This window comes from Homo sapiens, chromosome 16, assembly GCF_000001405.40.
Source record: "Homo sapiens chromosome 16, GRCh38.p14 Primary Assembly".
Classification (NCBI taxonomy): domain Eukaryota; kingdom Metazoa; phylum Chordata; class Mammalia; order Primates; family Hominidae; genus Homo; species Homo sapiens.
This window is the reverse complement of record NC_000016.10, coordinates 2,354,309-2,376,807: the sequence shown is the minus strand read 5'-3', so window position 1 is coordinate 2,376,807 and position 22,499 is coordinate 2,354,309. Positions and strand designations below refer to the sequence as shown.

General features: G+C 41.6%; 1 pseudogene across 1 annotated transcript in view, besides 1 other annotated feature; it reads right to left on the bottom strand.

Annotated features, from left to right (window-relative positions):
• ABCA17P (ATP binding cassette subfamily A member 17, pseudogene) overlaps positions 1–22,499 on the bottom strand; it is an 85,778-nt pseudogene that overhangs the window by 49,892 nt on the left and 13,387 nt on the right. The window contains exons 2-6 of the transcript NR_003574.1: positions 15,608–15,692; positions 11,000–11,127; positions 9,684–9,846; positions 6,211–6,470; positions 2,738–2,854 (exon numbers count right to left, since the gene is read on the bottom strand). The product of NR_003574.1 is annotated as an ATP binding cassette subfamily A member 17, pseudogene (transcript). The remainder of the gene's footprint in view (positions 1–2,737; positions 2,855–6,210; positions 6,471–9,683; positions 9,847–10,999; positions 11,128–15,607; positions 15,693–22,499) is intronic.
• Positions 9,534–9,883: an enhancer, noted in NCBI's record as "active region_10264". NCBI's record gives its function as "activates an Ori minimal core promoter by ATAC-STARR-seq in GM12878 lymphoblastoid cells {active_cell/tissue: GM12878}" and the evidence as "EXISTENCE:reporter gene assay evidence [ECO:0000049][PMID:35858748]".

Below are 22,499 nucleotides of genomic sequence, written 5' to 3'. Positions count from 1 at the left end.
ATGGCAGAGCTCTGATACATCATTCCCAGTCTGCATTTTGGCAGTATTTGCAATTCATTTATTAATTCAGTCATTCATTCAATGATATTATGGAATGCCTATTCTGTGCCAAGTACTATTCAGACACTGTGGATCCAGAAGTAAACAGAACAGGCTCTCTGGAGAGAGGGATGAGGGGGAGGCAGAAAAATAACTCACACACATACCTGACTTGCCTCCTTGATCTCTTAGCCTGGGGGTGTAGCTGGATACCCTTCAGGCAGTGAGAACCTCACAGGCCTATATAGGGGGAGAGGCCTTCCCTAAATGGTCAACACTGTCAGGAACAACAGTGTCTGTATCTGAGAGAGGACCATCCTTTCAGAAACACTGCTGTGCCCCAGTCCTGATGCACGCAGAGCCTGCCCAGCAAGTGCCTGCTGGGCTAAGATTTGGTTTTTAAAGTCCTGATACCAGAGGGGTGGCCAAAGGCACCTCTGACACAGCTTCACTATTTTGCTGCTCCTCAAATGCCTTCAGTGGAAAGAGCATCAGCCACGTATGAGGAGCATCAGGGCTATGGAGGCAGATGTGGGAAACTAGATACAGAGTTTGAATCAGGAGATAGTGTTCCGGCCCATTTGACCTCTTTAAGAATCCATCCTCATCTTGGTAGAGTCACAATTTGTCAGGGCCCACATATTGGAACATACTATTTGATGCAAAAAATTCACAAATGTAAATGATAAGCTGTTTGGCTTCATTTATACTACACTTTGATTTTTTGTCACAGTTCTCTTGAACTCCCTTTTTTATGTCACCAACTGTTGGGCCTGTCCTTCATTAATGTTTCTACCTATACCTCTCCATGTTGACCCACAATTCTTTCTCCTGCACTGTTTCTTTGACTCTACTCCCTGTTATTTTTGTCCTTTGTAATTTATCAATTCTACCAATAGTTTTAGAGGTAACACCTCCTCTTGACAAAAAAATAATAATAATAAAATGTCTAGGAACTCCTCCCTTACCATGGTGTCTTAGAAGCCATTTTACTGTTGTGCCCCAACATCATAATCAAGACCTGGGAAATTATCTGCCCTGGATGTCTTACACCTCCATTCCCTTCCAAATTGAGACTGCCTCCATTTGAAATTATATTAAGGAGACAAATGAAATATAAAAACATACATATATTGAGATGTTTCAACAAGCCTTTAGTGGAGAATGGAAGTCTTCTATTGTTAAAATAACCATAAAAGTGAAAACGTGACTCTCAAGAAATAATAATGAAGGCTGTAGATAATGGGAATAGCAATGCTACTGGAAGAAGTAGTCATAAACACCCCTTGACAGAAAATTGTATCAGGACTCACCTCTTTGGAAGAATGTGCTGATCATGAATGCAAAGAAAATTGTGGCAATGGCAAAACACATTAGAAAAACAAATATCAGACTAGGGTCACTGTTCTTAAGCAGTGCCACATTTTTCATCTATAAAACAATCATAGATATAATTTTTACATGAACAAAATAAGAAGAAAGCAAAACTTCCATGAAAACAATGAAGAAACTGTTTTTAAAATCTGAGATGATCTTAGAAACACACATATATATAGTTTTTTAAGGCAGGACCTTTCCTCCCACATCCATTACCATTTACAAATTATGCTCTGTACATGTATCCTTTTCTGGAAAGCATAAGTTTGGATTTAATTTTTGATCCAATGTGAACTTTTCTTTTATCCTTTTTTTTTAAGCAACCATGGCCTGACAAGTTTTTTTCTTTTAATAAGTGTGTTTTTCTCATTTGTCATGATCACTATTACAGATAATTTTGCTATACCTTTTGATATCTTATATCTTCTTTTTTTAATGTTTCCAGCCATTTCATTTGTTTTATATATTTTGCTGACTAGTCTGGGTTTCTTTGTTTTCCTTTGTTCAACCTGCCCCAATTTTGATAATTTAGAAGGTAAATGTTCGTATATCCAAGTAATAGGTTTTAATCTAGTCATTAAATGCAAGTTGGCAAATTTAACACCAAATTTCATTGATAATATAAAAGAAAAATAACGATGTCATAGACATAAAAGAATGTTATCTTTTATAATAACTACTTTTAATCGTTTGTAGAGTATAAAATTTATGTTTTAAAGTTTATAAGATACATTTTTGGCATTCCAGTCTACTAAAGATATTAACCACACCCATGTCCAGTACTTGAAGGCGAGGGAACTGAAAGGAGGACAAAGCTCTCCCTGATCTGAAAGATTCTAAATGCTTAAATGCCTCAAGTTTCAGAGAATACCACCACATACAACCTGAGATTTTCCAAGTGTTCATCAAGAATGGTGTGTCCAGCTGGGTGCAGTGGCTCAAGCCTATAATCCCAACATTTTGGGAGGCCGAGGCAGGCGGATCTTTTGAGGTCAGGAGCTCGAGACCAGCCTGGCCAACATGGTGAAACTCTGCCTCTACTAAAAATACAAAAATTAGCCAGGCGTGGTGGCAGGTGCCTGTAATCCCAGCTACTTGGGAGGCTGATGCAGGAGAATTGCTTGAACCTGGGAGGTTGCGGTGAGCCGAGATCATGCCACTGCACTCCAGCCTGGGTGACAGAGTGAGACTTTGTCTCAAAAAAATAAAAAATGGTGTTTCCCATCATATATTGAATTTCAGCACTACCACCCACAAAACACCAAATTTCTTTCCCACCTATTCATAGCTTAGCACATCTTGAAGGACAAGAGATATGTACCTCTGTGCAGAAGAGAATGGTCATGAAAGAAACAGCAATGAAGACAGAAATGAAGAACGTGATGAACCAAGCAACCCAGTGTAACCAGCTTTCCAGTCCCATCACGCACAGGTAATCCTAGAGAAAGCAAAACAAGCAGGCATTACACAGTTCAACACTCAGTTCTAGCTTGCCTGGTTCAGCAGTCTGTTACTGAAACTCCAACAGACTGGGATGAAGGGTTGTGTGTGTATACTGGGAAGAGGTGGCTAATAGGAGTGGTGGAGACTGAGTTTGAAAGAAAAGTACAAACCAGTGAATGGCATTTACCTGGTTTAGATATAGTAGAGATAGACCTACTACATGATTCTTCTTTTACAATAGTAAGTCTACTATAAGTGAATGGCTCCTATAGTCCTATAGTTCTGAAAAGAAAATCTAAACTCCTTGGCATCCTATGCCCTGGTTACACAAAACATTTTGCAATTCACTGAATGCACTATGACCTCGATGTCTTTAAAAACATTTTTTTCTTACATATGTCATTTTCTTTTTTCTCTCATATTCTCTTCAACTAGCAAAATCCTAGTTGATTTTCAAAGCCTAGTTCAAGAGCTACCTGCTCTGTGAAGCTTTCTCTGGTCAGCGTTGCCCATTCTCCACAGAGACGTGACATCTACACACTCCATTACCTTTGCACTTGGGTTTCTTTTGTAACACTTGGTTTTATTGCTGTAAATTGCCTGAGAGAAAGGGCTGTGTCATTTATATGTTTATCTCTAATGCATGTGCCTCATAAATATAAGTCGTTCAATCAATACTTGATAAGTGAATAAATGCAAAGCACTGTGCTAGGCACCATGCAGGAAAAATTAAAAGATATAAAAGGCAAAGGTACTGTCTTCTAAAAATTCGCAATCTAGTACTGAAGACACATATATGATAATAATACTGTATATGCCACACTATAGTTACAGAAGAAGCCTTTTTACCTTTTAATAATGGAACTAGTAGTTAGTTGGTTAATCAAAAACAAGTTGGGTAAGCAGGGAACCACAAAAATGCTATACACATACCTTACATTTTTATTTTTACTTATAGCATATAAATGTACAATTTGTGTTGGTATTCTTATGTCAGAACACAAACTCTTCTCTTGAAGTGTGGGCCTGCTCATTGGAGCAATGTGAGCCCCACCCATAAAGCAAAGATCACAGCCTTGAAAGTGGACTGAGGACATGAATACAGGCATGAAGCATTGTAGTACAGACTCTGACCAGGTTTCTGTATTTTTTTCTCATATTTTACAGAAGTTTCACCCACGTGAAATTTATTTTTTATTTTATCATTTTCGTTTTTTAGAGACAGGGTCTCACTCTGTTGTCCATGCTGGCGTGTAATGGTACGATCATAGCTCACTGTAGCCTTGAACTCCTGGGTTCAAGCAATCCTCCCACCTCAGCCTCTCAAGTAGCTAGGACTACAGATATGAGTCATTGCGCCTGGCCTCACGCGAACTTTATTAGCATTTTTTTTTTTAGAGATTTGCCTTACTGAATCTTTCCAAAGCATTCAACTAAATTTTCAAAGGTAACTCCAGTCCACTCCATCTATTTACATAATATTTAATTAAATTACAAATTATAAGAACAAGTACAGGTATAAAGAGATTTAGGAACAAACTTTAAAAAGCATACAACTCAGCAGGTAAAAGATAAACCCAGATTCGCTAGAGAGAAGCCTACCAGCTGCAGTGTGTTGGGAGCTTCAATCTGAGAGTTTTACAGAGGGGATAGAATGTCAGTTAATTTGGACAATTAATTACATGGAGATCAGTTAAGAGGTGGAAACAACAAACTATAGGAAGATGGGATGAAAGACTGATGAAATTTAGAAAGACTTCTTGAAAGAAATGAACTGCAATATAAATTTTGAAGAAGAGCAGCCAAACAATGAGGCCTGCCTATAGGAGGAGCAGAATACCTAATACCTATTTGGGGAACAGAAAAGGAACACGGTCAACCAGAGCAAAGGGACTATGCTTGAAAGGGTGAGGGGAATAGGAGGGATGGAGTGATACGGGTCATTCCTAAATTAAGGACAGTGTGTTTTAATTCTCCTTAATCCATCTACATAGTCATACTAAATAAACATGAGGGAGTTTAGGAAGAAAGAGTTCTATTAGTTGTATTCAGTGTTCAAAGAAGGAAATGACATTAGTGCCCCATTCCCCATATCCCACCTTGGTCCTAGGGCCAAACACCGTCAGGGCATTCTCCCTCCTGGAATATTTCCCATAGTAATGACTCCTCCTGGAATACAACTTGCCTACTCCTGGGTCCTTGCCAAGGAAGAGTTGAAAGTTTGGGTTGGGTCTTAGGGCATCACCTGAATAGAATGGAAGAGCTGACAACATTGATCCTATCAGCGTCCAGGGCTAAATGCTATTCTAGAACTCCCCAAGAGACTATCTTTTCCTGACTCTGCACCAAGCGGAAATGGAACACATTCCTCTCTGGCATATTTCATCTAAGATTCCACTCAGAGAAGCTAAAGCTTAATTACTGGAAAACTGTTTTACTTTTACTCTTTATCTGGGAATGAAAACTGTATTTATGGCTAGGTTGTACTGTTCCATATAAAATTATCTGGAAATTTTTAACCTCTCTATGTCTCAAGTTACTTCCTCTACTAAATAAGAATAATAGCAGTAGTTCTCTCATATAATTGTGTATCATTCAGGATCCCTAAAGGAAACAACTGTTATATTCAAATTACAGTAATTCAAAGAGGGTTTGTTTATAACAGGCACATGTGTGCACAGAGACAGAAAACCCTACAGGATAGTGCAGAAACCTAGGGCTAGCAGCAAAAGCATGAATACCTTCCTTGGATCCAAATGGATGAGAAGAAAGAGAGGCTACCAGAATCCAGAATGGGAGAGTCTTGTAGGGCAAGACATCTTGCGAGAACAGTGACCTTCAGTTAAGGAACAAGCTGAGCCCAAAATGACCTGTAGGGATCTCTCCCTGCTGGCCTGAGGTCAACACAGGGACCTCATCCTCCTACTTCTTCCCTCTGAGGTCCTGCCAGATTCCTTGTGGGAGCATGTGCTGGGATCCCTACAGGTCAGCCTTCAGGGCATCAAGCAAGGTGGTGAATAGTGAAGGGTAGATCTCTTATCATGAGTCATTCCACAAGCATTTTTCAAACACCTACCTAGTGGGAGGCAGTGTGCTGACCAACCAGGAATGACCAGGCTGGACATTCTCAGACTAAAGGCAAGGATTCATGTAATAACAGAGGTGGGATCACCTAGATTGCAAGCAAGTTAAAATTGTGAACAACCTTCCAAGTTCCAACTCACCTTGGAAGTTGCTTGGACACCTAAGCAACCTCCTTTTGGCTTCATTCCTATTCTGGTCATTTTTCATTAGCAGCTTCCCCATACCCCTGTCCCAGGAGAGGCATACACTTGAAGTATCTGGGGTTACCTTCAGTCTTTTCTCTTTCTCCAGTACAATGGAACTGATGATGATGAGCTCAATGTACATGAAGCTGAGTATGAAGAACACAGAAAACTCATTCTGAAGGACTAGGAAGAACCTGTCCTCGATATAGGGTCCATATGGGAATCTCTTCACAAGTACATTGAGATTCTCAAACATGTTGGTCATTGCATTGTGAGCATGGTACCACATGATGGCTTTATCCACAGCATACTGTATGGCCAGGAAGCCTTCTTTGTTGTATCCTATGAGAAAATAGTGAATATCAAGAAATTAAGGTCAGGAGTTCGAGACCAGCCTGGCCAATATGGTGAAACCCCATCTCTACTAAGAATACAAAAATTAGCTGGGTGTGGTGGTGCATGCCTAAAGTCCCAGCTACTCGGGAGGCTGAGGCAGAATTGCTTGAACCTGGTGGGAGGCAGAGGTTGCAGTGAGCTGAGATTGCGCCACTGCATTCCAGCCTGGGCAACAGAGGGAGATTCCATCTCAAAAAAAAAAAAAAAAAAGAAAGAAAGAAAGAAAGAAAAAGAAAAAAGAAAGAAAGTATAAAGATACAACAACTGGTGTTTCAGACGGATCATGGCTAGGCATTCATAGAGACAGACAGCGGTAGGAAAGGCATCCCTAGAGTCCTCACTACAGTGTGGAAGAAAGAGAGGAAAGTCACAAGGGAGACCCCTGGAGCTGAGGGTAATGCATATATGATCCAAAAATGGGGTAAAGGAGCCTGGGCAGGCAAAATAAAAGATGTCCAATACAAGAATCTTTTGAGGTGGGACCACATCTCCTCCCCTTAGTATTCAGACTTCAGGGAAAGAGCACCTCTTCTGCAGTTTTGATCACACAGCACGTATGAGATGGTTAAACTCAAAGCACTCATATGAGATGGTTAAACTCAAAGCACTTGAAAGACACAGCCTCCCTAACCTGTTGTGACCTACTTCTGAATTGTTACCGCTGTTGGGTTTATGGTCAGTGAATTTTACTACTAAGTCTCAAAAACAGTCCTTATCACAAGCAACACTCATTTCAATACAGCATAGTTGGCATGATGGGGTCAGCTTTCAGGAAAAATAGGCTGAAAGGCAAAGATTCCTGGTTCTGGGGTCCTCTAAGAGATAACAGCCCCACCTCCAAGCAATGGTTACCAGGCTCCAACATGAGCAAAGCCAAGGTGGGGTACCTCAACCCCCTCCCAGGAGTAGAGGTGGCTATGGTCTTCAGATGGCCTAGACCTAGGCAGACTCTCAGATCTGTCCAGGAAAAAGAAGGAACAAATTGTTGGTAATAAATTCTCAGAATGGTTACATATTCTTGATTGTGTGTAGGAGTATTTTCACTGCAGAACTGCTGGATCTTTTCTAGAATTATGCAAAACTGTAAGTACTCGGACTTGGACTCTCACTTAGTGTGCACAAAGGCCTGAGGCTTCAAGCCAATATTTGAGCCATTCTACAACAGATGTAGATTACCAGCTTAATTTTCTAAGAAAAGTTAGTTGCCTAGAGGATGTTCACCCTAAACCCCTCACAAAAAGGAAGACCAAAAAATCTAAAGTGAATGGGAGAGCATGAGTCTTTCAAGAGCGGATTGGCCCATGGGCCTTCAGTCGGGAATGTGATGCTTATTGTGAAGGACAGAGGATGCACAGGTGTCAGTGTTGCCCCAGTACTTCTCTAGGAACCTGGGGTTGCCAGAAGCGAGAGTTGGGCAACGCAGGCAGATCCAGGGAGTACTGGGTGCCAAGTTTTAGGTGTTTGCTCTGTCAGGTGCAGTTAGACCCCTTTGCATGGGAGAGAGCAAGCAGATGCAAAGCAGCCACTCAGCAAGGCTCTCTCCTTCACCCTCAACAGAGGGTGACAGAGCAGAAAGTCAGCATGGCTCCCCAAGAAGAGAGGACTATGGCAGCCAGGAGTCAGGACCTGGCTTTGGGACCACATGCCAGCCCTTGGGACAAATAGGAACTCCTGGAAAAACTCCAACCTTCTGGCATTAATTTTCTGTCCTCTTATCCTGAATGACAGACAGGGAAAAGGAGATTTTCCCAGACTAGAAATGCAGATAGGGAGATTCATGAGAGGGAAAGGGAGAGGGCCAGCCAAGACCAAGAGGCCTGAAGAACAGGAACTGGGATTCTGCACCAGTGTTGCAGATGGGGCAGGGAGGATGGAATAAGAATCAAGGCAAGATCTAAAAGCATCAGTCAGAGTAAATAAAATCAAAGTGAAGCATCAGCCAATGAACAGGCCAGAAAGAGTTCAGGGATTCCCCCAAAGCAGGAACAGACTCTTTGGAGCTGCACAGACATGCAGAGAGTCCCAAGAGTGTGGATGATTATCTTCTGTTTCTTCTTCATTAAATTAAATGAGACGGATGAAATGCAAAGGATACAGTCAGTGGAGATTGTAATGGAGGCATGTTAGACATAGATCATACAATATGACATGCGTGTTGAACAGGACATGTGTTTAAAAAGATAGAATAGGGCCAAAAGTGGTGGCTCATGCCTGTAATCCCAGTAGTTTGGGAGGCCGAGGTGGGCGGATCACCTGAGGTCAGGAGTTCGAGATCAGCCTGGCCAACATGGTGAAACCCTATCTCTACTAAAAACACAAAAAATTAGCCAGGTGTGATGGTGGGCACTTGTAATCCCAGCTACTCAGGAGGCTGAGACAGGAGAATCGCTTGAACCTGGGAGGTAGAGATTGCAGTGAGCCGAGATTGTGCCATTGCACTCCAGCCTGGACAACAAGAATGAAACTCCATCTCAAAATAAAATAAAATAACCAAATAGGAGTGGTATTTGCAGGTGGAAAAGGGAAGCCGAGAAAATCTTAAACATGCATAAAGCACAGATCATGTTTCCTCCATGATGACAAATGTCACTGCTAAATTGGCCACCCACTGGTCCCTGCACTCCTTGTTCCAGTAAAATGTTTCCATCCTTCCTCCAAACAATTCAATATTGTTACAATCAAATCCATAACTACTGTTTTTACTTGCTCTAGAATGTAAGCAGTTTACTGAATGTCACATTTCTAAATGTAACTCCTTCAACCTCTTCTGAAATGCTAGTTTATGTGCTGGCAGCAAAACAAACAAAACAACAAAAGTGGCCATGCTCTTTTTTTTTTTTTGAGACGGAGTTTCGCTCTTGTTGCCCAGGCTGGAGTGCAATGGCCCAGTCTCAGTGCACCGCCACCTCTGCCTCCCAGGTTCATGCAATTCTGCCTCAGCCTCCTGAGTAGCTGGGATTACAGGCATGAGCCACCACACCCAGCTAATTTTGTATTTTTTGTAGAGATGAGGTTTCTCCATGTTTGTCAGGTCTCGAACTCCCTACCTCAGGTGATCCACCCGCCTCAGCCTCTCAAAGTGCTGAGATTACAGGCATGAGACACCGCGCCCAGCCACGGCCATGCTCTTAACACGCACAAGCTTCGGGGCTTTCTCACCAGGACTTCCCCCAACAGCAAATGGAAATTCCCGGGGTTCTTGGCGTGGATTGGGAGGGTAAAGAAAGGATGTGCACCAGCCTTCTATGTCATCTTGAAAAAATATATTCTTCCCCAGTATAAAATTCTTCTGAAAGTAACTGAAGCGCAATTGATACTTAACCTATGAAGAACAAAGAGAAAACAAATTCGGTTATGAACTCCTGAAACTCAGCAAAGGCACAGGACAGAACAAATCTGTGCTTGATGTCAGCTGTAACAGGATGAAGGATGCCCACACTGGCAGGTGTCCCCTGGGAGACCATGCTGCAACAGTGGTCTTCCCTGTGTACTCTGGAAATTCTCCGTGGTGCAAGCCTGGGAAACATACAGCCGCTCCTGAGCCCCCTTCAGGAATGGTGTGCTGCAGAACAGTTCAGAGCAAGGGCTCTGGAGCCAGACCACCCAGATTCTAACCCCAAATCTCCTACTGAATAGCCTTGACACCTTGGGCAAATTACATAAACTTCATTCCTCAGTTTCCTCATGAGTAAAATGGGGATATTAACAACGTCTACCTCATAGGCTACAGTAGGATTGAACCAGATGGTATCTGTGTTGCCTAGCATTAATAAATGCTTGAAAAACATTGTTGGTTATTTTATTAACATGTCTCTCTCCATCTACCAATAGCCCATGCAACTTCCAACAATTAATCATCAGATACACTGTACAACACAAAAGCTATACATGAGTGGTTTTCCCATCCCAGAACATAAACCAAATATTCCCATGTTTACAACATGAACTTTTCCTTAAACAAACTCACACTCATACCATATCTGAAGTCCATAAGATTATTAGTAATGACAACAATAACTAATCCTTCTGGAAAGTTATTTTGTTCCAGGCTTTGTTCTAAGCACTTTATAGGCATAAAACTCTTTTAGCCCTCACAACAATAAGGACACCGAGGCCCAGAAATGTTTTTCCAAGGTTACACAGCTGGTGAGTTGCAGGGCTGGAATGCAAGTCTGTGGAGGCTGATCTTGTAGTCTGCATCTGTCATCAGGCAGTTTAATATACGCCATCCTGTACCCTCAGGATAAAGGCTTGCTCACAACAAGCCTTCTAAAGAATTTGAAAACTGGAAGGGACCTCAAAGTCTAGGTTGTAAGACATGAAACACAGGAGCCCTTGCATATCTCCTTTGGAAATAAGATGACAAAGCTGCCACAGAGAAAAGCCGGGGGCAGGTCAGCCAACAAGACTGCAGAAGGAACACATGCTCAAGTCTCGGCAGCACAGTACAATTGTTAGAGAAAGGATGTTCTTACCGCAAGTGGCAAAGATCCATTGCTGTCATTGACGCTGTGGTCAAAAACAATTCCTGCCAATATGTAGAAAGCTTTGGGATCATCAATTATATAACGTTCAAACAAAGACACTGAAGAACAGCCTAAAACTACAGAGAGAAAAATCCCATCAGTGAGTGGCTGGTGTGAAGGCAAAGGCTACCCAGCTGCCCGCTTTCTACTTAAGGAGACTTAAGATCGACAGCTGACTGCTCCATTAACTCCAGCATTCGTTCTGCAAATACACGAGCAGAGAGAGACAGAAAATAAGGGAGGTAAGTTAAGGGACATGAATCTCATTATTTCAAGTCATAACTTTAACTGGGAAGTCTATAGTCCCAAGAACTGCTAGCAACTATCTTGGGGCATCAAGAAAGTAATGCTAAGAAGGAAGAGAATTTAAGTGCTGATCACATGATCTGAGACCTGGATCAAGCCTTGTGGTTTTTCATTAAAGAATGAGTTTTGTTCTTGTAGGAAGTTTAAGTTCACTTTTATCCTTTCAAGGCTTGTTTCTAGCCTGAGTTTTACATGTTGATTATTTTATTTTTCATTTCTAGAAGTTCTAGTTCCTTTTTTCTCCCCAAATTTGCTAGGTGACTATAATGACATGCTACCTATAAATCCTTTTACGTTGTCTTTTATTTCTTCAAACCAGCTAAACATAGGGATTTTATAACACGAGACTAATAATTCCATTATCTGGAATCTTTCCAGGTCTGTTTTTGCTGTCTGTTGTCATAGTGATAATCATCCTTGGTGTCCTGTTTCCTAGTATGTTTGCTCACTGACCTTGATACTCTTGTGGTGAGTCTTGAGATACAGAAGGAGGGTACATTATTCCAGGAAAAATATATATTTGCATCTGTCAATCTGAGTCCCACTGTCCCACTTCACAGTTCGAGGGGTTTTTCTTTTCTTCTTTCCTTCCTTCCTTTCATTCCTTCCTTTCCTTCCTTTCTTCCCTTCCCTCTGCCCTTCCTTCTTTCCTTCCTTCCTCCCTCCCTCCCCTCCTTCCCTTCCTTCTTTCTTCCCTTCCCCTCCCTCCCTCCCTCCCTTCCATCTTTCCTCCCTCCCTCCCTCTCTCCCTCCTCTCCTTCTTTCTTCCTTCCTTTTTTTTGACAGCCAAGTGATGTGAATTTGAGCTACAAATCTCAGAGCTAGGACCCTCCCTGCTGTGCTCAGTTCCAAGGCAACATTCAGGCAGTCGGGGGCATGTTTACATCCAGCACAACCTTACATTAAGTACCACCACTACAATGTAAGCATATGGGGTCCTAGATTTAAGGGGAGATAGTCTCATGATATACACCCCACCTTGAATGGGACTTAACTTTTTCTTCTTTCCCTCTGTGCCTTACAAGTCTATGAAAACGAGCATTCGATTTCCCCTAGTATGATGAATGTTTGATCAAAAGCAGTTTAGGGCCTCCACTGATCTCTTTGGGTTCTTTCCTTCATCTAGATTTTTTTTCTTTTTTTTTTGAAATGGAGTCTTGCTCTGTCTGATCTCGGCTCACTGCAACCTCCATCTCCAGAGTTCAAGTGATTCTCATGCCTCAGCCTCCCAAGTAGCTGGGATTACAAGTCGCACCACCATGCCCGGCTAATTTTTTGCATTTTTAGTAGAGACAGGGTTTTGCCGTGTTGCCCAGGCTGGTCTTGAGCTCCTGAGCTCAGGGAATCCGCCTGCCTCAGCTTCCCAAAGTGCTAGGATTACGGGCGCCACTGCACTTCAGCCTGGGCAACAGAGCGAGATTCTGTCTCAAAAAAAAAAAAAAAAGAAAGAAAGAAATTTCATAATCTCATATGTATAAGGTAACTGAATTAGAATACATAGTATTTTAGGATACCAGACAAGCATGAAGCACAACTTTCTTTTCTTTTTTTTTTTTGAGATGGAGTCTTGGCCTGTCGCCCAGGCTGAAGTGCAATGGCACGATCTCGGCTCACTGCAATCTCCACGTCCTGGGTTCAAGCCACTCTCCTGCCTCAGCCTCCCAGGGAGCTGGGACTACAGGTATGTGCCACCACGCCCGGCTAATTTTTTTGTATTTTTAGTAGAGATGAAATTTCACCATGCTGGCCAGGCTGGTCACAAACTCTTGACCTCAAGTGACCCGCCCACCTCGGCCTCCCAAAGTGCTGGGATTACAGACATGAGCTACTGCACCCGGCTGAAGCACAACTTTCAAAACAGTGATTTCCCCACATTTTACCACTGAGGGCATTTTTATTTTTTATTTTTTTAGAGACAGGGTCTCGTTCTGTTACCCAAGCTGGAGTGCAGTGGTGCAATCATAGCTCACTGTAGGTTCAAGAGATCCTCCCACCTCAGCATCCCAAGTAGCTGGGTCTACAAGCATCAACTACCATACCTGGTTAATTTTTTATTTTTTGTAGAGACAGGGTTTCACTATGTTGCCCAAGCTGGTCTCAAACTCCTGGAACTGAAAGCTTTTAAAAGAATTATCCTCACTCAGGCTGGGTGCAGTGGCTCATGCCTGTAATCCCAGCACTTTGGGAGGCCAAGACGGGCGGATGACCTGAGGTCAGGAGTTTGAGACCAGCCTGGCCAATAAGGTGAAACCCCATCTGTACTAAAAATAGAAAACTTAGCCAGGCGTGGTGGCGGGTGCCTGTAATCCCAGCTACTCAGGAGGCTGAGGCAGGAGAATTGCTTGAACCCGGGAGACGGAGGTTGCAGTGAGCCTAGATCTCACCATTGCACTCCAGCCTGGGCAACAAGAGCGAAAGTCCATCTCAAAAAAAAAAAAAAAGGAAAAGAAAAAAAAAATTATTATCCCCATTGAGTGGCACTGAAGCTTGGAGGGAAAAATCTCTATTCACTTTATGCCCTATATATTATTAGAATACTTTTACAATAGCATGTAGAGCAATTATAGTAATTTTGAAAAATTTCTCCTATAAACTACATATTTTGAAGAATGCTATCTACCTAACTACATTAATTTATTCAATAAATATTTATTGAGCACCTACTATGTGCTAGGTACTACAACAGGCACAGTGATGAACAAAACAGACATGGTTCCTATGCCCTCATGGAGGTGGAGTCTAGTGGAGAAAGGCAGACAATACACAGAAGCAAGAAAGTGAATATATATGTAAACATTTATTAAAATTCCCTTTTTGATAGAAAGTATAAAACAGGGTTCTGTGACAGAGAATAAGGCAGAGGTGAGAAACCTAAAACCGATTTAGCTGCTTTCCTAGGCATCAGTTCAGCTGAAACGTGAAGACTAAGAGGGAGCAATGCACAGGGAAGGCTGAGGGCAAAGCACTGTCAGAAGGAACACCTGCTGCAAAGGCCCTATTGGGAGAAAACCTCATGTAGCTGCTTTCTAGGAAGTAAAAGACCAACATGACCAGTGTGTGGGAGCACAATAAAGAGCCAAACTAGATAAGACTGGGAAAAAAGCAGGGTCAGAACCTGGAGAAGAGCTGGTTTTCTTTCAGGGCAATGGGAAGCCACTGAAGGGGTTTAAGCTAGAGACTAGCTGGATCCTATTGAGCTTTTGAAGATCTTTCTGCCTCCACACGGAGACTGGATTAGAATGGGACAAGAGGAGAAGCAGAGACCAGTTAACAAGTTAGAAGCTATTTCAGACCCTCTGACTCTCTGAATGCCTTCCATTTTTTATTAGAGACATATAATTGCCAATCAGACCTTTGGATTAATATGAGATAATAGGTGTCATGATAGTGAGTTAAAAACAAATACTTAACATTTAACATTTTAATTAGCCTTGAAGCCTTCTGACATATATAGACAAGACTCCATATGTTGTTTGAAATAATAAAAATATCTCATGGACAGCTTCCCCCCAACTACCACCTCATAGGCTCTTTAGAATTTGGAGACACTAGATTTAGAATCACTACTGTAAGAACTCTCGGGGAAAAACTTCAAACTGTACTTTATAAAAATGTCCTCCCGATCCTTACCCATATTTACATCTAACCTTCAAACTCAACATCAAAGATCTGTTCCACCATTTCGGTGACAGCCTTCAATGTTTCACTTATAGAAGGGATATAAACTAGTTGAAATCTATTTTTCAGGAAAATTGTAGAAGTCTGGCAACAAACTGATATCAATTGCATGGCAGCTAGTAGCAGGTCTTTTTATTGGAGCACTACTAAAACGAAGATACAATACAATGCAGAAAATAGCAATGGCATCAAGATTTCAAGGACTGCTACCAGAGTCTTCCGTTTCTAAAATAAAAACAAAAGCTAAATGTCAACCCAAAACAGAACACATGTGGTGAATGCTCTTCCATTTAGAACACTTTAATTTCTTCCAGTCTCCCTGCAAAACACACGAAAAAGAAAAACACAGAGTAAGAATTAGCTTGAAACATCTCCTTTTAGCCTTTCTGTAACTCCAATGGCCAGAAATCAGTAACAATGATGTCATCTTTAATAATTACATGACTCATTTGCAGAAAAGGGCCCCTTTCCATGTAAAGTTCTTAATTGTTCTTTAACCCGTTATTATGAACCAATTTAACTTAAACATTCAATCCCCCCCAAGGACTTATATCTTCCCACAGATAACCATACCAACTTTAAGATGAAATCCTTCCAGCGAAGAAGTTTTAACTTTCTGAACACCGTCATTTTCCTAGCTGAAGAGGAGGGCTCATCACTAGTCAGGAAACAAATGAGGGAAAATGTTATGCATAGCACAAAAGTGTTAAGAGTTACTTTTTCGTCCTTGAAAACTTTCTTCTTTGGGGCTTCCAGATCATTGTGATGGACTACTTTTCCTCCTATCATTCTAGGAATTCCTTCTAAGTCTTTTTGCTGATACTTCCTCCTCTTCCCAACCTCTAAATGCACTCCAGGGCTCAGTCTGTGCTCTCCTTAGGTGATCTCACTCAGCTCTTAGATTTGAATCCATCTATATGCTGGTGACTTCTAAATTTGTATCTCCAGCCTAGACCTTGCCTCTGACTCTAAATCCAGATACCCAACTGCCGGCTTAATACTTCCATGTGTTTCATCTAAGTTGACATGCCCAAACTGAGCTTTCTTATTCCTGTTAAAAGATTGTCCTACAGTCTTCTTCACTGTTAACGTCAGTTCCATTCTTTGAGTTATATAGGATTATTATCTTTCTTTTTTTTTTTTTTTTTTAGACGGAGTCTTGCTCTGTCACCCAGGCTGGAGCGCAGTGATGCGATCTTGGCTCACTGCAACCTCCGCTTCCTAGGTTCAAGCGATTCTCCTGCCTCAGCCTCCAAGTAGCTGGGATTACAGGTGCCCACCACCATGCCTGGCTAAGTTTTGTATTTTTTGGTAGAGATGGGGTTTTACCATGTTGGCCAGGCTGATCTCAAACTCCTGGCCTCAAGTGATCTGCCCACCTTGGCCTCCCAAAGTGCTGGGATTAGAGGCGTGAGTCACCTGGCCTGGGCTTATTCTTTTTTAATGACACAGGAAAGCAACATGTTACAAAATGAACTGGTTACAAGCAGTAGGTAGAGGATGACTTCAATTTTAATTAAAAATATATAAAATTATGAACATGTATATAAAAAACTGGAAGGTTAAATACCAAAATATCAACAGTATTTAATTCTATACAGGATTATTGTTGACTTCTCTCTCTTTCACAGCTCAAATCCAGTTAGTCAGCAAATCCTGTTGGCTCTACCCCTGAAATAGACCTAGAATTCAATCCCTTTCACCACCCCTATTCTTATCGTCCCTTGCCGGGATTTCTGCAATACCTTCTTTGGTGGTATCAGTACATCTGCCCTTGCCACTTTGCAATCCATTGTCCATGCAGCAATAAGAGCGACCCTCTTTGAGTCAGATTACGCTTCCTCCTCTGTTCAAAACTCTCTACTGGCTCTTATCTCACTCCAAGCAAAAGCCTTGCCTTACAATGAACTACACAGTTGTACATGGTATAGTTCCTGTTCACTTTCTCATGTCATTCTGTCTCCTAGTTTACTTCTCTCCTTCTCCCTGCTCCTGTGTCACAGGCATAGCTGCTCCTCCTAAAACACACCAAACACACTTTTGCCTCAAAACTCATATCCCTCTGTCAAGTACACACTTCCCTCGTGTATCAACACTTCTAGCTCCCCTACTACTTTCAGATATTTCCTCAAATGTCACTTTCTCAGTGAGGTCTTTTTGATCATTCTATATAAAATTTCAACATCCCTATAGATGTCATATCAACTTTCCATGTTTATTTTTCTTCTTAGCACTTTTAAATGATTTACATGCTATTTATTTGCTTATTTAATCTGACATCCCTACTCAAATTTATGTTCTGTGAAAGCAGGAATTGTTTGTTCTGATTTTTTTTTCCAACACTGAATCCCAAGACACAAGAACAGAGGCGGCACATGGTAGGAACTCAGTAAATATTTGATGAATGAATGAATGAATTAAAAGGTATGCAGTCTTTGTAGGCATGTGACTGAAGCAAAAATGACTGCGAGAAAGAAAAATACCTCGGATAGCAGAAAGTTCCTTCTCTTCTCAATCTTTTTGTTTCCCAAGTGTAATACATGCTTTAATTTTTTAGATACTATTATTATAACAAAAATGAGATTTTCATTTACAGAAAACATTTTTCCAGTGGGGAAAGAAAGGGGAATATATTTTTTCTCAGGTGAAAGCATCTCTAACTTTGCACAAAAGAAATTAAAGAAACAAGACTCATATAAATACGGAGAATGGAGAAAATATGACTATTGTTCCTGGAAAGTCCTCCTTCTTGGATGTGTTGTGTCTCTTGTCTCTTACTGTACTTCCTGTAATGCTACTTCCTTAAATACAGAGACAGTGTTTCCTTCTCCTGAATATAAGAATTTTAGAAGCAGCATCTTCAATAGTGAATGCAGGCCAGGCGCGGTGGCTCACACCTGTAATCTCAGCATTTTGGGAGGCTGAAGAGGGTGGATCACCTGGGGTCAGGAGTTCAACACCAGCCTGGCCAACATGGCAAAACCCCATCTCTACTAAAAAAAAAAAAAAAAATTAGCTGGGCATGGTGGCACATGCCTGTAATCCCAGCTACTCAGGATGTTGAGGCAGGAGAATCACTTGAACCTGGGAGGCGAAGGTTGCAGTGAGCCGAGATCGCACCATTGCACTCCAACCTTGGCAACAAGAGTGAAACTCCATCAAAAAAAAAAATTAAAAAAAAAGGCCAGGCGCAGTGGCTCACGCCTATAATCCCAGCACTTTGGGAGGCTGAGGCAGGTGGATTACCTGAGGTCGGGAGTTTGAGACCAGCCTGACTAACATGGAGAAACCCCATCTCTACTAAAAATACAAAAATTAGCTGGGTGTGGTGGTGCATGCCTATAAATCTCAGCTACTTGGGAGGCTGAGGCAGGAGAATCGCTTGAACCCAGGATGGGGAGGTTGCAGTGAGCTGAGACACGCTATTGCACTCCAGCCTGGGCAACAAGGGCGAAACTCCGTCTCAAAAAAAAAAAAAAAAATCTGTCAAGTCACTGGCTGAACGCAGAGATAATGAAACAGAGACTTTCAGTACTCACACATAACAAGAAATATAGTGTCTTTAGCAAAGTCACTAAACAAATGGACAACTGCAGTTTTCAACAAGTATCAACAGCAATTTCTGAGGAGAGATGAGAATCTGATTTCCAGAGCTACCAACTACAGTATTCAAAATGTATAGCTCTCAGTAAAAAATTACAAACCATACAAAGACATAGGAAAGTATGACCCATTCACAGCAAAAAAGGAAGCTGACACAAACCATTCCTGAGGAAGCCCAGACATAGGACTTACTAGGCAAAACTTCTAAATGGACTGTCTTAAATATTCTCAGAGCTGAAGATGATGGACAAAGAACTAAAGGAAATCTGAAGAATGAAGTGTGTACAAGCAGAAAATTTCAATAAACAGAAAAATTTTAAAGAAACCAAATAGAAATTCTGGAGCTGAAAAGCATAAAAGCTGAAACAAAATAATTCACTAGAAGAATTCAAAGATTTGAGCAAGCAGAAGACAGAATCGGCAAACCTGAAGATAGGGCAGTTAAAATTACCAAGTCTAAGGAGCAGGAAAAAAAAAATGAAGAAAAATGAACAGACCCTAAGGGACCTATGGGACACCATCAAGTGTACCAAATACACATTGTGAAAGTTCCAGGAGAAGAAAGAGATAAAAACATGTTTGAAGAAATAATGAAATAACAACTTCTCAAATGTGATCAATACATGAATCTACAGATCCAAGAAGCTCAACAAACTCCAAGTACAAGAAACTTAAAAAACCCACAAAGAGAGTTATTATAATGAAACCGTCGAATGCTAACGATAAGGAGAGAATTTTTTTTTTTTTTGAGACAGGGTCTGGCTCTGTGGCATGATCATCGTTCATTGCAGCCTTGACCAGCCAGGCTCTAGTGAGCCTCCTTCCTCACCCTCCCAAGTAGCTGGGATTATAGGCATGTAGGCATATGCCACTACGCCCAGCTAACTTTTTTATTTTTTGTAGAGATTGGGTCTGCTTGGTTGCCCAGGCTGGTCTTTAACTCCTGGCCTCAAGCGATCCTCCCACCTCTGTTGCCCAAAGTGTTGGGATTACAGGTGTGAGCCACCATTCCCAGCCCAAGGAGAGAATCTTGAAAGCAGTAGGACAGAAGAAACTTGTACAAGGGATCTTCAGTAAGATTAACAGCTAATTTCTCATCAGAAAACAGGGAGGCAAAAAAGCAGTGGGATGATATATATAAAACGCTTAAAAAAAAAAAACTGTCAAGAATCTATACCCAGCGAAACTATCTTTCAAAAATGAAGGAGAAATTAAGACATTTTTTAGGTAAATAAGAGCTAAAGAAATTTGTCTCTAGTAGACCTGCCCGAAGAAGCATGCCAAAGGAAGTCCCTCAGGCTGAAACAAAAAAATGCTAGATGTAATTTGAAGCCATATGAATAAATAATTATCAGTAAAGGTAACTTTTTAGGTAACTATAAAAACTAGCATTGGCCAGGTGCGGTGACTCACGCCTGTAATCCCAGCACTTTGGGAGGCCAAGGCAGGTGGATCACCTGAAGTCAGGAGTTCAAGACCAGCCTGGCCAACATGGTGAAACCCCGTCTCTACTAAAAATACAAAATTTAGCCAGGCATGGTGGCACACGCCTGTAATCCCAGCTACTCGGGAGGCTGAGGCTGCAGAATCACTCGAACCTGGGAGGCAGAGGTTGTAGTAAGCCAAGATTGCGCCACTGCACTCCAACCTGGGCAACCAAGAGCAAAAGTCCATCTCAAAAACAAACAAACAAAAAAAACAACTAGTATTATTGTACTTTTGGTATGTAACACCTCTGTTTCCCATATGATTTAAAAAATAGAGCCAGATACAGTGGCTCATGCCTATAATCCCAGTGACTCACAGGTTAAGACAAGAGGATCACATGAGGCCAGGAGTTCAAGACCTGCCTGGGAAACATAGTGAGATGTTCATCACTCAAATTTTTTTTAATTAGCCAAGTATGGAGGTACGCACCTGCAGTCCCAGCTACTCGAGAAGCTGAGGCAGAAGGACCACTTAAGCCCAGGAGTTCAAGGCTGCAGTGAGCTATGATCATGCCAATGTACTCCAGTCTGGGTGACAGAGCAAGACCCTGTCTCTAAAATTTTTTTTAAAAAACAAGCTTATGCACACCCATGCACTATTCATGAAAACAGAGTATGTATAGGCCATAAAGAAAATTTCAAATTGTAAGAGGTTGAATGATACTGACCACATTTCTAGATCACACTACACTAAAAGTATTAATAATAAAATAAAAACACCAAAACCAAAAAAGCACTTTTTTTAAATGAAAAACTCTCTCCTAAACTGCAAAATATTCTATCAATCAAGAAAATGAGAAGACAAGCCATAGACTGAGAGAAAATATTTGTAAAAGACATATCTGATAAAGTACTATTATCTGAAATATACAAAGAACTGTTAACAATAAGAAAACAAACAACCTGATTTAAAAATGGGCAAAAAACCTAAACAGTTACTTCACTAAAGAAATATACACATGGCAAGCCTGTAATCCCAGCACTTTGGGAGGCCGAGGTGGGCGGATCATGAGGTCAGGAGATCGAGACCATCCTGGCTAACACGGTGAAACCCTGTCTCTACTAAAAATACAAAAAATTAGCCAGGCGTGGTGGCGGGCACCTGTAGTCCCAGCTACTTGGGTGGCTGAGGCAGAAGAATGGCGTGGACCCGGGAGGCGGAGCTTGCAGTGAGCTGAGATTGGGCCACTGCACTCCAGCCTGGGCGACAGAGATTCCGTCTCAAACAAAAAAAAAAAGAAATATACACATGGCAAATAAGCATATGAAAAGATGCTCAACCTTATACATCATTAGGGAATTGCAAATTAAAACAATGAGATACCATTACACACCTTGATATGTTTTGAATTTGTGTCCCTTCCCAAATCTGATGTTGAATTTGTAATCCCCAATGTTGGTGGTGGCACCTGGTGGGAGGTGATTGGATCATGGGGATGGTTTCTCATGAATGGTATAGTGCCATCCCCCTAGTGCTGTTCTCATGGTAGAAGTGTGTAGCATTTCCCCCACTCTCTTCCTCCTGCTCCAGCCAGGGAAGTGGTGGAACTCACTTTGTCTTAGGCTATGATTATAAGTTTCCTGAGGCCTCCCCAGAAGCTGATGGCAACATGCTTCCTGTACAGCCTGCAGAACCATAAACCAATTAAACCTTTCTCATGAATTACAGAGTCTCAGGTATTCCTTTACAGCAGTGCAAACAGACTAATACACACCTATAAAAACATCCAAATCAATGGATATGCCAAGGGTGTGGAGCAACAGGAGCTATTGTTCATTGATGGTGGAAATGCAAAGTGGTACAGCCACTTAGGAAGACAAGCGGTTTCTCACAAGAGTAAATAACCCCTTACCACGTGATCCTGCAGTTATGCTCCTTGGTATTTATCAAACGAGTTGAAAACCTATGTTCACACAAAAACCTGCACATGGATGTCTATAGTACTTTACTCATAATTGCCAAAACTTGTAAGCAACCAAAATGTCCTTCTATAAGTGGATGGATAAATAAATTGTGGTACATCCAGACAATGAAATATTATTGAGCATTAAAAAGAAATGAGCTGGGCCAGGCGCAGTGGCTCACGCCTGTAATCCCAGCACTCTGGGAGGCTGAGGTGGGCGGATCACCTGAGGTCAGGAGTTCGAGACCAGTCTGGCCAATATGGCAAAACCCTGTCTCTACTAAAAATACAAAAAATTATCTGGGCATGGTGGTGGGCGCCTGTAATCCCAGCTACTCAGGAGGCTGAGGCAGGAGAATCACTTAAACCTGGGAGGTAGAGGTTGCAGTGAGCCAAGATCACGCCATTGTACTCCAGCCTGGGCAATAAGAATGAAACTCCACCTCAAAACAAAAACAAAAACAAAAAGAA